At 35.4% G+C, this 15071-nt stretch overlaps 1 long non-coding RNA gene across 8 annotated transcripts in view; it reads left to right on the top strand.

Moving 5' to 3' along the window:
* LINC02840 (long intergenic non-protein coding RNA 2840) overlaps positions 1 to 15071 on the top strand; it is a 121122-nt gene that overhangs the window by 46740 nt on the left and 59311 nt on the right. For 2 of the 8 annotated variants that reach the window (NR_183503.1, NR_183511.1), the window contains one exon: positions 10459 to 11145. The exons of the other annotated variants lie outside the window; for them this stretch is intronic. This is a non-coding gene — a long non-coding RNA (long intergenic non-protein coding RNA 2840). Of the gene's footprint in view, positions 1 to 10458; positions 11146 to 15071 lie in introns of those variants that run through there. 8 annotated transcript variants of the gene reach the window in all.

Genomic DNA, 15071 nt, shown 5'->3' with positions numbered 1-15071 from the left:
TTGAACTCCTGGGCTCAAGTGAACCACCCGCCTTGGCCTCCTAAAGTTCTTTGTATAATTTTTGCAACTTTTTAGTATGTGTGAAATAATGTTTTCTAAAAATGTTTATAAAATTTCATTTCTTGCAAAATTCAGTACTTTTTTTTACTTTTGGATTTAGTCAATTGGTTTTAGTAAAATTTAAAGTAATTGGAATTAAAAAGAATTGTTTCTAATCCTGGCTGAGCACAGGCTTGATAATTTAATCTCTCTGAGCTCCAAAGACATATAATTGCAATATTAATATATATACACTTATTTTCCTCATATACTTAATACCTTTATATAGCAAACATAGATTGAATCCTGACTTGTTTTTAAATGAAAAGTTTACGGCAGGAAATTGAATAGAGAGATCTGATTATAACCTCAAACTGTAATTCTTAATCTCTGGTTCATGACATACTAATCCAAAGTACTGCAAGTGACTATTTCCACAAATAATTAAAGTAAAATTTTAACTCATAACATTTTTGCAGAGTAGAACATGGTTATTGTCATACTAATATTATTGTGTTTTGGTAGATTTTCCTGAGTTGGGGAGATAGAGTTGGATTATGGCCAGGACACTGTGCCTTGTACCGGCAGTTGATGGTCCCATCTGGGAACCACCTGTCATTAATAAAAGCAGTATGCATGAATTACTGCAGTACTTTATGTCCCTGTAAATATTAGGTTTCATAAATATATAATTGTATGCATGAGAAGGAGTGCATCCATATTTGAACATCATCTGTCATGAATTGTATGAGGAAATAACATTTAAAAATTATTGCTCCAAAAATGCAAATGGTTTGAAGACACCATAACTTATGGTTCATAAATGTGTTCATAACTGAACAAGGTTTATGTGGGACATTTCAGTATTTGTAACTTATAGAAGTAAAAACTGATAAATCTTGCTGTTTTATCATTTACAGATAAAATAATTTTGAGAAAGAAAACATTTTGGAGATAAATATAACTACTACATTTCCTAGAAGTAGTTTTGGCTCATTGGAGATAATGTTTCTATAATAACTGTAAACAACCACATTGGATTTGATGAGCATACTACTGCTGCAAAGCATTGTGCAAAGGAGCACTCAGCTCCTTTAAATTAATTGCATTTGTATAAATGGAATTGGTTTGGTCAAAGGCTGTCTTTTAATGAATGAGGTTTTATATTCAAGAGTGAACATAATCCCTTGGTTCAAGAGTCAATGAAATGAAAAAGTGATTGATTCACCAAATTAGGGCTGAATTTACTTTTGTATTTTTTATAGATGAGGAGCTACTGGCCACATTTGACTCATTTGAAAACGCCACTCCATCAAAATTAACTTTTATCATTACCACCTACTTCAGGGCATGCTTTCCCAGTTGTTTTCAAATATAAATTTCCTCAGGAATATAAATAGGTTTACTTAGTGATGATTCAATATGAAGTGGAAACTCACTTAGATCTACTGGAGAATACAGAAAATCTATTATATTAGTCTTGGTTATAAGGAATTATAGTAGTAAAACAAACTATATTCACATGAAATAGAGCATATCATAGGTAAATAGTAAAAAATATATACTAAATCCTAACAGATGCCCAGATTTTTGTTTCTTTACTGTTCCCTCTATTTTTGTGTGGAGATTTAGAGAGATTGAAAAACTAAGCCATCACCCTACCGTCTTCTCAGAATCAATCAATTGAATTAATAATTTTGAATATTTGGGAGCAAGTAATATAATAGAAGACAGGGAATTTTAAAATGTGCTCTAAGGTATGGTTAGAATTTACATATTTGAAGGTTATTCTAATTATCATGTTAGAGATTGTTCAGCATGCTGTATATCACAAATATCTCATTTTAACATCATGGAGGCCAAGTGCAGTGATTCATGCCTGAGAGGCCAAGGCAGGAGGATCGCTTGAGCCCAGGAGTTTGAGATCAGCCTGAGCAACATGTGAGACCCTCTCTCCACAAGAACAATTGTAAAAATTAGCCAGGCACTGTGGCCTGTAGTTCTAGCCACTTGGGAGGCTGAGGCAGAAAGTTTGCTTGAGCCCTGGAGGTCCAGGCAGCAGTGACCCGTGAATGCACCACTGCACCCCAGCCTGGGTAACAGAGTGAGATCCTGTCTCAAAAAGATAATAATAAAATAAAACAAAATCTTGGCATATTTGAGCCCTTTTTATTATGTTTTTTTTTTTTTTTTTTCAAATTACAATTTGGTGATACAATACAGAGGTAACAGGGCCTGGATTGAGGTAGAAGGAACTATGCATAGTATCAGTTGTGTAGAGCAAAGGGACAGGTAAAGTAACTAGCCCTATGTCACCATAGCAGGCCTACACACCTTTTTCTACCACAGCTAGAGCTTAGGTCAGGTGGCTTTCTGTTCCTTCTGGTCTGCAACCTCTAGTTACCTTCCAAATACTAGGAATCACAGGCATGGCAGTAGAACCCCAAAGCCCCCTAAAAGCCACGAAGAAAATACCCAGACTCAGATATGTGGCAAAAAATTAGGAGCAGGTCCAGATTTTGTGGGCCCAGAAACTTTGACAATTGGGAGGAACTTTTTTAAAAATGCAAAACAAGAAACCCAAAATTAGGAACAAAAGTAAATATTTATTTAGAATGAGTAAAAATATCTTCCTCAGTTACTAATTATAAAAGTTGATGAACACCATAAATATTAAAAATGCAAATAACTCAATATTTTATTAATAAACTCCCTGATGTACCTTTATCAGCTTTATTGGGGTATAACTGTATAAAAAATGCACATGCTAAATGTGTACAACTTGAAGCATTTGGACGTAGGCACACAACTGTGATACCATCATCAAAATCAAGGTAATAAACACGTGCATCACCTCCAAAAGTTTCCCTATGCCCCTTTATGTGTGTGTCTGTGTGTATACATATGTGTGTATGTCATACATTCTATTAGTGCTTACTCTGAAGGCTATACCTGCATTCTTGATTTGTTTATTGTAGTTATGAATTTTAATTATATATATTTTAAATTCAACGAAAGATTACATCATTGTTTGGAGACTTAACATAAGTCTACAGTCTTAAATATTCAGGTGCACAATACCAGTATTATTTATAGGCACTATGTTGTATAGCAAATCTTCTCCTATTTCTCCTTCTTTTCTTATTCATAAAGATTTAAAAATATAAAAACCATATCTAGCTTCAAGAAACAGGCTGTGAGAAAGATTTGCTCTGGGGCCATAGTTTGCCATCTCCTCTTTTGGTAGTTTTTTGTATGTATACATATATATATATATAATATAGAAAAACCTTATTTTACCATGCTTCACTTTATTGTGCTTCAGAGATACAGCATTTTTCACAAATTAAAGGTTTGCAACAATCCTGCTTCGAGCAAGTCTATTGGTGCCATTTTTCCGACAGCATATGCTCACTTTGTGTCTTTGTGTCACATTTTTTGCAATTTCTTCAATATTTCAAACTTTTTAAATTATCATTACGTCTGTTATGGTGATCTGTGGTCAGTGATCCTTGATGTTACTATGGTAATTGTTTTGGAGCACCATGAACTGTGCCCACGTAAGATGGTGAACTTAATCAATGTTATGTGCGTTCTGACTGCTCCACCAACCAGCCATTCCCCTGTCTCTCTCCCTCTCCTTAGGCTTCCCTGTTCCCTGAGACACAACAGTATTGAATTTAGGCAAATGAGTACGATGCCCTCTAAGTGAAAGGAAGAGTCACACGTCTTTCACTTTAAATCAAAGGCTAGACATGGTTAGTGAGGAAGGCATGTTGAAAACCAAGATAGGCCAAAAACTAAACCTCTTGCAAAAAAACAGTTGGCCAACTTCTGAATGCAAAGGAAACTTTCTTGAAGGAAATTCAGAGTACTTCTCCAGTGAACGTATGCATGATAAGAAAGCAAAACAGCCTTATTGCTGATATGGAAAAAGTTTTAGTGGTCTGGTTAGAAGGTCAAACCCACCACAACATTCCCTTAAGCTGAAGCCTAATCCAGAGCAAGAACTTCTATGGAGGCTGAGAGAGGTGAGGAAGCCACAGAAAAAAGTTGTAAGCCAGCAGAGGTGGGTACATGAGGTTTAAGGAAAGAAGCCACCTCCATAACATAATTGTGCAATGTGAAGCAGCAAATACTGATGAATCTTTCTCATCCCTTTTAATATGTACATTTAAAATTATAAAAAATTTCAGCTTGTTAAGGAATAACTGAAAAATAAAATTCACATATTTAAAGTATATATTTAGCTATGTTGTCCAGGTTGGTCTCGAACTCCTGACCAGGCCTGGGTGAAACAGCAAGATTCTGTCACAGAAAATAAATAAATAAATAAATAAATAAATAAATAAATAAATAAATAAATAAAGTGTATATTTAAAGTGTACAACATGAAGATTCAATATAGGTATATATTGTAAAGTGATTACCACAATGAAGTTAATTAACATATTCTTCCCTCAACTCACGTAGTTTCCCTTTTTAATTTTTGTTTTTTTGATGAGAACTCAAGATAAACTCTCTTAGCTAATTCCAAGTATACAATACAATATTATTAACTATTGTCACCATGCTGTACATTAGATCCCCAGATCTTATTTTTATAACAGAAAGTTGGTACCCTTGGATCAACATAAGATCATAGAATTTTATTTAAGCACCTCTTTTGCTGTATCTCATGAGATTTTTATATGCTATACCTTTATTATCATTTAGTTAAATATATTTTCTAATGTCTGTTTTGATTTCTTTTTTGGTCTATGTATTGAATAGACATTTATTGCTTGATTTCTAAGCAGGCGGAGATTTTGGTAGCTTTCTTCTCATTATTTTGTCTTAATTCTGATGTAATCAGAGAATATATTCTGAATTAGTAAATTCTTTGGTAAGACTTAATTTGTGGCCAGCATATAGTTAATATTGGTATCCATTGCACTTAGTCATTCATTTCCTTGTTGTTCAGTGCACTATTCTATATATGTTAACTAGGTCAAATTAATGATGATATTCAAATCTTTTCAAACCTTACTAAATTTTTTTTGTCCCTTTATTCTGTCAGCTTTTGGAAGTCTGTTTCACGTTTATTTCCTTCCATTTCTGTCATATATTTTGAAACCTTGTCACTGAGTACATGCAGACCCAGGAGTATGTCACTCTATTGTTTCAATGACCCCTTTATTATTCTGAAATGCCCTTCTTTAACTTTTATAAAGCTCGTTTCCTTAAAGCATACTTTTCTGATCTTAGCATAGCTAGATGATCTTTTTTTGTTAATGTTTTTCATAGTAAACATTTTCTGTTCTCTTACTTTTAATTTTATATGTTCTTGTATTTAAAATGTGTTTCTTCTATGCTGCGTATTGCTGGGCTTTCTTTCTTATTCAATGTATTTTATTTCTTATTTGGTTTATTTAGTTTAACTTATATTTATTGTAATATCTGATATAGTTGTGTTTTTGTCTTACCAGTTATTTCCACTTGACCCCCTGAGTTTATGGTCCTCTTTCTCTACATTCTTTTTTCTTTAATTAATCAAAAGTTCTATTTGTCCACTAATTTCTTATTAATTTGTTAGTCACATATTTTATTAATGCTTACTCTGAAGGCTATACCTGCAATCTTGGTTTGTTTATAGTAGTCATGAATTTTAATTACATATATATTTTAAATTCCACAAAATATTACATTTTTGTTTTGTACAGTGAATGTCCATTTATGTTTGGGTTTAACCCAAAAAATTTGAGAATAATGACTCAAATACTTTAGTTTTAAATTTTTGATTATTTTATCTAAATTTTATTTATATACCACTTGGCTTTCCTTTTCTCACTCAGAAACCAAGGCCACAAGCAAAGATCCCAACATTTAAAATGCCAGTGCAAGATCCCTTCTCTGTTAATGAAGGCCATTTTAAACAAAATGAAATTATACAAACATAAAAATAAATGTTTTAATAAAATAATTTTAACTTTCACCTTTTAGTTTTAAGCAGTGAACATTAATATATGAAATTTTTCACCTTAAAATACTATCCATTTATTTATAACAAGACATCTAATAACATGTAAGCAGAATATGCTTCAACTGAGGTTAAGTAAATGATAAACATACTTATAAATAAGCAGTAAATGTTTAAAAGGAATCTACAAAAACTTTTAACTCAAAACCATTGAAAATGCAAAATCCCAGTTCTTGAAGATAACAAGTTAATAGATACATTTTCTTTTATAACGGAGAACTGTCTAACCTCAGTCATATTGAGTCTGAATGAAGCATAAATTTATTATTGATAATTTTAGGGAGGCTGGTCCAGTTCGTTTTCTTCATTTTAAAATTCTAATCTGTATTACTGCCTAAGCAAAGGCATCACTGCAGGAACCGTGTAGAATTTGTCATTTAATTCATTTGCCTTCTCCTCTTTTCGAGCCCACCTTTGTCAAACTGTCAAGTGTCTATGCCTGGATATGTTAATTAATGTGTTATTTTCTAGGGAATGACTTTTACTCAATAACTTTTCTTCCGTGGCCTCTTTAAAGACCACTTCTTGGTTTCTCTAAAATCTCTAGCTACTTTGTTAGTATTTACTGCAAACAAAATTATCTTGTAAAATGGAGAGATCAAGTCAAATTGGTTTCATCTAGTTCTAAATTCCCCCTTACCCCTATGTTCAACCCATCAATACAATTCTCTAATGCAATTTAGGGAATGGTCCCTGTGCCCAGCTCCTTATTTTTAAAATTAACATCTTCAAGTATTTAGCCTGCTTGCCTTCCCTTTTTAATTTTGCCTCATCAAATATATGCTTTCAGAAGCAGTCCCACATTAGAGCCTAAAGTATAAAGAAAAAAAAGAACCCCATATACATATATCAAAATACCTTCTTATAGTTTGGGCCAAGTGGAGAAGTCAATAACAGCTCTATATTTTTTAAAAATATGACTATATATGAATCCGTGCTGCCCAATCCGTTTTCACACCATTGTCAACATTCAGATGCCCTGGACATGGGCTGAGACAATTGCTGTTGCACAACAATGCCACATGGTAAAACAGCCTGGATTTATTAAACTTTCTGATATTTTGTGCATCCCAGATTTTTTGTATTAATTTCAGTTTTTAAAAATATTGCATTAAAATATTATTTATCTTGATTACTGGAATTTCTAGCACCCTTTAAAATTTTGTGCCCCAGGAGAGTGCCTCATAGGCCACACCCTAAGCCCCATCCTGAGCTGGAACCCTTCCTTGAAAATTAATGTCTGAGCATTCAGCAAGGTGAATTTCATTGATGTTTCCCTTTGAGGAGAGAGGAGCATGTACTTCTGTCTTCGTTGAGCTCAGCTCCTGGATCATCATCATCTCTCTCTGGAGAGGCTGCAGATGGGAAAAGAAGATTTTTCCACTTCCGAGTCTTCTGAATCATTTGGCAGGTCAACCAAACTGCTCTCTAGTGGTGTCTGCATTTTCCTCTCATTTCCCTTGCTTCTGGCTCCTCCTCCTGGACCTCCTTAGCAGGTTCATTTTCTTCTAACCTGCTCATTCCGTGATTTCAACCCAGACCTCTTCTCTCTCCCTCCCCCTTGCTATGCTTTCCCAGCTTTCTTGTGTCTGTCTCAGCTTCCTGAACCTCTTTTCTCCTAGGGAACATCATGCAGCTACCTGCTTCCCTCATGGTGCCTCCATGCCAGGCTACGTTCCCAGGCCTAGGGACTATGAGAATGATGACACTTAATGTCAGAATGTTTAATACACCTTAAATTCAAATATTATAATAATGTGCTTTAAAAGTGGCCCAGATCATTACTTTCCTGCTTTATTTAAAAAAGTAGGGGGTTAGGGAAAAGATCCAGTTTATAGCCTAGAGGAAGAGGGTGGTTCCTTAGTAGAAATAGAGAACAATTTCTCAGTGACTATTTCTAAACACCATTTTCTCTCCTTAATAAAATGAGTTTGTACAAATTACAGAATCTCAAAACCAGAATTTCCTGTAACTCTGTAAAGAGAAAGATTTAGTACTCATTAAACATACTAATTATATACATTCTAAATGTTATTTATTATAAATATATTTACTTTCCTTTTAACATTTTAAATGCATTTGTATGTTGTTTTACATTTTTAGTTTTACATCATTTAAGAGCATTCTATTTTACAATATAATTACTATAGTAAATTATCATCATCAATTTTTAGAGTACATTGTACAATTTTAAAAATATTTGCAGCTCAGAATCACAGGTAAAATATTTTTCACAAATGTTGTTTTTTCCAATGTACTGTCTGTGTTACTCACAATCTAGGCAAACCTCAGTAAGTGGCTAAAATTCCTGTTTATCAGTTTCCTCACTACAATAATGAGGAAACACGATTGATACCTACCTCCTGGGGATGCTCTAGGGATAGACCGAATCAGTGTATGCAAAATGCCCAGAACACTGCCTTTTGCACAGCAGTGCCCAACCCAACAAGTATTAACCATTATGTTTATCATTATTAATAGGGCTAATATTAACACGAGTTCCTTAGTGTGAAACTAAATTTACCTTCTTTTTTTCTAAATTCTTTCTCACACTGAGTAAGTTGGATCATTCTGAATTCAAAACAGAGCTCAATTATTGTATTAATCCCTTAACTTGGTAATACCAATTGATAAAAAGGAGTATCACAACATAACCACAAAAGAAGTTATTATTTATTTTTACTTTTCATTAAAGACCAGGATTTTCAGGGACAAGTAGGGTTTCACATATGATAACAGCTTTGCCTTATTATGAAATAAAAATAAGTGATATAGAGTATAGAATATTCTTTTTGTTATGATGTTTTTTTTTTAGATTGGAATAGATAGGAAATACTAATTAGGTAATACTGATAGGGACACAAAATTCTCAAGTTTTGGGTAGGGGTTTTCTGACTGAGAAAAAAGCATCTTATAATTCTTGAAGTTTAGACGAGGTGATCTTTGCTTTAGGAAAAGTACAGACAAAAATGAAACTTAAAAATAGAACAACTGCATTCAGCAGGATTCCACTCACTTAATTGTGGAAAGCTAGAGCTGAAGGGATGTTAGAAATGACACAGTTTGACCTCTGCATTATATTATGTGAGGCAATGTGATCACATACATGCACACACTAGATAGGTAGAACATGGGCTTCAAAGTCTGAGCCTCAGCATTTCTAAAACTTGTCTTCCATATTAATTCCTTTCGGGTCAAAATGTTTCCAAACTCATCATCTATGGAATGTATTTCTCATTTCCCACCTAGAAGATGATATCTTACATTATACAATGCAAATGACTTAGTGAAACACACCATCTCAGTGAAATATTGATATTCTGTACATTTATCCTGATATATCCTTGGATAGTCTTAAAATAACTGAATACTTAAGTTTGAAGCCTGAAGTCTTAAGATAACTGAATGCTTAAGTTTGAAGCAGAAGAATAACTGGCATTCTTTTTCAAAATGAAATTACTTTGTTTAAAAGAATTATTAGAAGAATTTCTCTCTCTTGGTTTTAGACTGTCTTTCCACAAATCACGTATAGAGGATAATTGTGTCTTTCCACAAATCAAGTACATAGGATAATAGAGGATTATATTTTGTCAAAATAATAAAGATATTACTACTTATTTTATTTAATTTTTAATGAACAATTTATATATATTTATGGGGTACAAGGTGATGTTTACTACTTATTAAGGGCTTTTTGCATGTCTACATGCCTTATCTGTTTCAATTCCTACAATAATTCTGGGCTAGGAATCACTATGCCCATTTTATTGACGAGGAAACTGAAGCTCAGGAGGTTGCATAATGCGCTCAAGGCCACAGTTCATAACCTGAACCCAGATTCTTCTCACTCAGGGTTCCATATTTTTAACTACAATGCCACAGTGCAGAATGTTCTTTACCCAGAATACTTTTTAAAATTATCTATTAATGTACACAGCTGTTTTAACTATTCTCCTCACTATTTCTATGTATAATGAATGTTAATGACTTTTAGTGAGAAGATTATAAAGCTTTATGCAGGAATTCACTCTGACATCTAAGACTAAGAATTCTTTGCTATAATGATTTTTTTTTTTTGCTGAATCTCAAGTAGATTATTTTTGCCTTTTTTATTATAACTTAATTATTTTTAAACACAAATTAAGAGTAAAAGTATATGATGATAGGTAGGGGATCTATTCATTTCTAAGAACTGTCTACGAAGTAAAAAAAAATCAGCATGAGTGTTTTTTTAGGACTTTTCATGATTATTTATGGGGTTTGCATGAGCGAGAGTCCCAGGGACAGTCATGCTGGCAGTAGTACCTGCAGGCACAAGAGTGTCACCCTCAGAAGAGAATGAAATGCTTGCCCCAGGGAAGGGAGGAGAAAGCTTACCATCTGCTCTCTGGAGCTTGCAGGTATAGATGAAGGAGAGGCTGGTGTCTGCTTTTCACCTGAAGATTCCTGGGAATCACATTTGCCTGAAGCATTCATAAGAGCATGGCAAAAGGGGCAGTTGCTCTGTTGTGCCAGGAAGAAGATGGAGGTAACCCCATGCCTTCATTCCAGTTATCCAAAGCTCTCAAAGCTGTAGAAGAGAACTTCAAAGTTCTGTTTTATTATTATTATTATTATACTTTAAGTTCTGGGACACATGTGCAGAACATACAGGTTTGTTACATAGGTATACATGTGCCATGGTGGTTTGCTGCACCCATCAACCCGTCATCTACATTAGGTGTTTCTCCTAATGCTATCTCTCCCCTTGCCCCCCACTCCCTGACAGGCCTCGGTGTGTGATGCCACCCCCACCCTCGTGTCCATGTGTTCTCATTGTTCAACTCCCACTTATGAGTGAGGACATGTGGTATTTGGTTTTCTGTACCTGTGTTAGTTTGCTGAGAATGATGGTTTCCAGCGTCATCCATGTCCCTACAAAGGTCATGAACTCATTCTTTTTTATGGCTGCATAGTATTCCATGGTGTATATGTGCCACAATTTTCTTAATTTAGTCTATCATTGATGGGCATTTGGGTTGACTCCAAGTCTTTCCTATTGTGAACAGTGCTGCAATAAACATACATGTGCATGTGTCTTTATAGTAGAATGATTTATAATCCTTTGGATGTATACCCAGTAATGGTATTGCTGGGTCAAATATTATTTCTGGTTCAAATATTATTTCGGGCAATTCTTGAGGAATTGCCACATTGTCTTCCACAATGGTTGAACTAATTTACACTCCCACCAGCAGTGTAAAAGAGTTCCTATTTCTGTGTTTTTATGTGAAGAAACATGAGTTTAGGGGAGAGGGCAGGAGACAAGGTCCCCACCCAGGAGATAAGTAGACAAAGTAAGATAAAGGCCCATGAATGAGCCTAAGGCATAGGTGGGTTATAGGGAGATGTGTCTGTGTCTCACTAAGAATGTTCTAAAGATCACCCTAAGGAAGCCATCCACATCAGCAGCAGGGAAACATCTAAGGTGATGACACCACTAGCAGCAGAAAAGAAGAGTTTGTGCCGGAGTAGGACTGGGGTCTCTAGATGAAGCCTGCATGGCACCAGAGTTGCCTCCCCACCACCAATACACGGCCAGGTCTGTAAAACCTGAAGATTCTTTAGTTTCCCTTTTCTTCTCTCTGCCATACCCCAAGAAAAGCTAGACCCAGAAGAGAAAGGGAAGAAGGTGTGTAAATAAGAGAAGTCCACATACTTTTACCTTCCCCCTCAGTCTTCTCAAAGACCCTGATGTGAGAGGAGAAGAGGAAGATCAGACATTGGCTCTTCCTCACATAGGTTCCTTCTTGATAGGAAAAGAAGACAGCGTTAGATAAAATTTGGGATCACAGCTTCAAAGATGCCATTATGTGATGGGAAAGAAATACTAGACAGAGTCTTGTTAAGGGCAGTGATTGGAGAAAAATAAAAATGTTCAGTTTTGACCCCATTGAGTTATCTACTCTGTAAGCCAGGTGCACTTACGTGAGACGAGATTTAACACAATGTGAATTTTGCTTTTTTTCCTCCCTTAAGGCTTTCATACTGCACTTAGCACTTTATTAGGATTTTAGTTTATGGTATACACACTAAATATTAAATTTATCGAGACTTGGTTGGGCAGATGCCCTATAATTCACACAGTGCCAGGTAACATAGACACTGTAACAAAGGCATATACGCTGGGCGCAGTGGCTCACGCCTGTAATCCCAGCACTTTGGGACGCCGAGGCAGGCAGATCACGAGGTCAGGAGATTGAGACCATCCTGGCCAACATGGTGAAACCCCGTCTCTACTAAAAAAAAAAAAATACAAAAAATTAGCCGGGCGTGGTGGCGGGCATCTGTAGTCTCAGCTACTCTGGAGGCTGAGGCAGGAGAACGGCGTGAACCCGGGAGGCGGAGCTTGCAGTGAGCCGAGATGATGCCACTGCACTCCAGCCTGGGCGACAGAGCGAGACTTCGTCTCAAAAAAACACAAATAAACAAAGGCATATACGATAAGGCTTCCTTTCCAAGCATTTACAATTGGCCGGGGGTAATATACAAGCACTTAAGTTATCTAAAAAGACAGAAGTCAATTAACAATATAAATTCTGCCAAGATTTATATGAAACATTTTAAAGAAAATATTGCATTTGTGCAATGTTAGAAAAAATTAAATACCATATGTTAAACCTTCTCATATTTTCTTCAGCCAGCTCCTCCTATATGTTTTCTTTAAGTCGATATTTTATGTGTTAGGTCCGGTCATTCGCTTCTAATTGTTGCCATTAATTTTACATGTGAGAGTGCACAGATGAAAAGAATGAGTGTTTGACAGCGTCTACAAATGGAAAATGTCTTTGTCAAGAGCCAAACTGAAAAGGCCAAAGCCCTCTAGTTTGCTGTTTCTAGCATCTGAAGTCCAGACACAAACGACTCTGACCAGTGCTTGCTGATGTGACATCTGTTTTCATCTGCGTTTGCTCTGGGAGATGCCCTGTTAGCCCTTTCCTGGACTGCCTTGATTCTGATACCTTGCCTGGACAATCTTATTATTTGTCATCTGGCTTTCTGGCTACTGTGTTCTCTTCCTGTCACCCTAAACTTCCTTTCCTTATCTGAAGCTGGAACTACACTCATTCTGAAACATGAACACAAACACACCTAAATCTAAAAAAATCTTGAAATTATAGTGACCAGTATATCCTTTTACATTCATCTGATTTAAGCAGCACTATAAATGAGGAAATCATATCTAACATGAAGTCAAGTTATTCTTACGTCTAGAAATAATAAGCTTTTGATTCACTTCAGAATATTTTGAGCTGACGTCAAGGCTTTTAATACAATTTTGTTGATGCGGGAGCATAATATGACGAACAAAACACTTGAGAATGTTGAGGTATGCTCTCAAATATGTTAACATGATCAGACAAAATTTAGTCCTCAAACTGGAACAGAGCAGTTAAGGTAGCATGCACTGGCAGATAATCAAACTCAGGCTCGCTAATTAAATTGTACTGCAGCTGATAACAATGCAGTTGATGATGCCCAGCATATTCCATGCTTGTCACAAATTGCTGTTACTTATGAAACAGAGCAGTAGCTTTCCACTTGAATATTTTCCAGAGCAAAGGGAACTGCGGGCATATGCACATATGCTCACAAGTGCTTGGTGGCTCTTTCTAAATATTTTTAAATGGATGTTTTAATACACAGAGCAAGCTTTGGATTTTTTTCTGTGATTCAGCATTGTCAAGTACTCCATCATTTGCAAGATTAAAGTCAGAAAGTTGTCATAGCCTGTCTCCACCAGGAATATATGTGTGCATATATATCTTACACCACTTTTCACTTGTCACATATCTCAGTGGCTGGATGAGAATATGGTGCTAATACTGAGTTCTAACTCTTGGAAGGTAGCTACACTTTAACGCATTATATTAAACAAACATCTTTACAACTCTAAAAGATCTATCTGAATATGGAATGTGTGGCCTTAAGGGAGCTCTTCTCAATGCCAGAGAAGTACAAAAATACACCAGGTAGTCATGTAGCTGTTATGCTGAATTCGAATTTCAAGTACTAGGTGATGGTTAAACATGTTTTGGTGGGAGCCTAGTCAGAGAACACAGAAGCTATAGGTCTGATTGGTTGGCCTACCTCATGCTGGCAAAATTCAGTGTAAATAACAACTCCTATATATTTTTCTCAGAACTGGTTCCTAAGAGAGCAGAAAATCAGCTATATGAAACCACGGCTAAAGAGATAAATGGCCTCAGTACTCAAATTTGTATACCACGCTTATCTGCAACTGCAGATCACCTGAACGATAGTGAATCAACTGATTGGGAAGAATTCATCTAATGTAAACTATGTGGTCAACGATCTAAGGGATTATTTGTGAAGAAGAAAATCTGGGTTCCAATTTATACTCTGTTCTAGCTGATGGTAGAACCTAAGGAATGGTCCATTTCCCCTAGTAAATTCTCTTGTATCACTATAGATGCTTTCCGAAAATGCTGATCACAATTTAAAATTTTACCTCTTAAGTGTCTATTTGATTAGTGGCTGAATCCCTCCTTCAGACTGAAGTCCATGAGAACAGAAACTCTGTTATTTTTTGGTCTGCATTGTATACACGGCATTCAACACAGTACCAGCCACAATGTGAATGCTCACTTACCAAATACATGATTGAATGAATTTAAATCTTCTGGGGCTCAGTTTCTCCATATTGAAAATGATCCTTGTATCATGTCTAAATATTGCTCAAATTTCTTACATCTTTAAGGGTTGTGTACCACCATTTTATGATCCTTATTCTTCAGAAGCATAACAATGATTTAGAAACAGAGGCATGTATGAAATTACTAGAGAAAAAAGATATAGCCAACAATTAAGCATTCCCTTGTAGGTTACTGAGCTCAGAAAATGAATGAATAAATTATTATTTTGCACGATGGATGCATTTGAATAATGGAAAGAATGTAAGAAGATATTTTCAGGTTAGCGGTAGAATAATAACAGAGGGAAAGAAGACAGA

Source organism: Homo sapiens, chromosome 6, assembly GCF_000001405.40.
Source record: "Homo sapiens chromosome 6, GRCh38.p14 Primary Assembly".
NCBI lineage: Eukaryota > Metazoa > Chordata > Mammalia > Primates > Hominidae > Homo > Homo sapiens.
Note: the sequence above shows the minus strand (reverse complement) of the source record. Positions and strands in the feature narration are given on the sequence as shown.